Raw genomic sequence first — 1217 nt, 5'->3', positions numbered from 1 at the left:
TAAATTGAATCAGAATGAGTCCTAGCCCAGCTTCACCACTGCACGTTGGCTGAAAACGCCTGACTTCCCTGTCACCTCCAGCTGTTTCCATGGCTGGACCTGTAGGAGCCTGAGGTCAGGGCAATCAGCTGAGCAGGGGTAGCCTGGAGAGCCTGGGGAAGGAAGGGAGGGAGGGAGACAGGCTTGTACTAGTGGCGAGCATGCATAGGATCCTCAAAGGCAGTGTGTGCATGTGTACACGTGCCTGTGGCATGTATGTGTACCCATGCATGCGCGTCTCTGTGTGGTGGTAACGTGTTGATGGTTGGCCAGGAGGTGGTTCAGGGTTCTTGGCTCTTGCTTTCTAAAATGTGGCGGCTCACTCCTTTTATGAGGCATTGCTGAGAGCAGGTTTGCCCTCATTAATCAAAGCAATAGCAATAAGCAGGCAATTAAGTTCTCCCAAGGATGCATGTTCGAGTTCTTGGCTCCAGCAAAGCTGTGGTAGTTGGTAGAGTTAATGGCAAGGAGCTCGGGCCTGGTGTTCAGGTCAAGGCTCATTTTCAGGTTCAGCGAGATAATGACAGGCCCAGAAAGGTCCAGTTTTGTCAGCTTAGAGAGGTTACCCTCAGGCCTACTAGATGGTGAGCTCAGCATCCTAAGGACAATGATTTTTTAATCTCCCTGACATGAAAGTTTTTCGGAGTAGCTGCTGCTGGCTGAGCCTTCTGCTAAAGAGCACTCATTAGGTAACTCCTCCTCACCATGCAGGCTGAGGAGAGGCTCCTTTCCTGGATTACAGCTCAGGCCTTCTATCCTAAGAATGAGCACCCAAACAGTATCAATGAACTAAAACCAAGACTTAAAAAATACTGTTGGATTGATGAATTTTGGCATCTAAATAGCCAACTCCAAACCTGCCTATTATCAAGATCAGTGTAACAGTCTCCTATGGGAATGGGGGTTTCCTTTAAGTTCTCTATTGCCCACCTCTAAATCACTGTGCTGTTAAGCCACCTTCTTAAACCCCAGCCTCACCACATTATGCCTCTGCTCAGGAGCCTCATGGCTTCCTATGTCCTCCTGCAAAAAGCCCAGCTCCCATGTTCTGTTTGCCCATCCAGCTTGCATCCCAGCAGCCGGCCTCCATCCTGCCTCGCCTAGTCTCTGGGGCTCTCACAGACGCTCTGTGTGACTCTTTCCTTCCTTTTTGCCTTGTTTCCTCCTGTTCTGCTCAT

General features: G+C 49.8%; 1 annotated feature.

Annotated features, from left to right (window-relative positions):
* Positions 210–710: an enhancer, noted in NCBI's record as "H3K27ac hESC enhancer chr10:85583180-85583680 (GRCh37/hg19 assembly coordinates)". NCBI's record gives its function as "activates a minimal SCP1, AML or CMV promoter by ChIP-STARR-seq in naive and primed H9 embryonic stem cells {active_cell/tissue: H9 hESC(naive and primed)}" and the evidence as "EXISTENCE:reporter gene assay evidence [ECO:0000049][PMID:30033119]".

Source organism: Homo sapiens, chromosome 10 (assembly GCF_000001405.40).
Source record: "Homo sapiens chromosome 10, GRCh38.p14 Primary Assembly".
Classification (NCBI taxonomy): Eukaryota; Metazoa; Chordata; class Mammalia; order Primates; family Hominidae; genus Homo; species Homo sapiens.
This window is presented reverse-complemented; position numbering and strand designations above follow the sequence as displayed.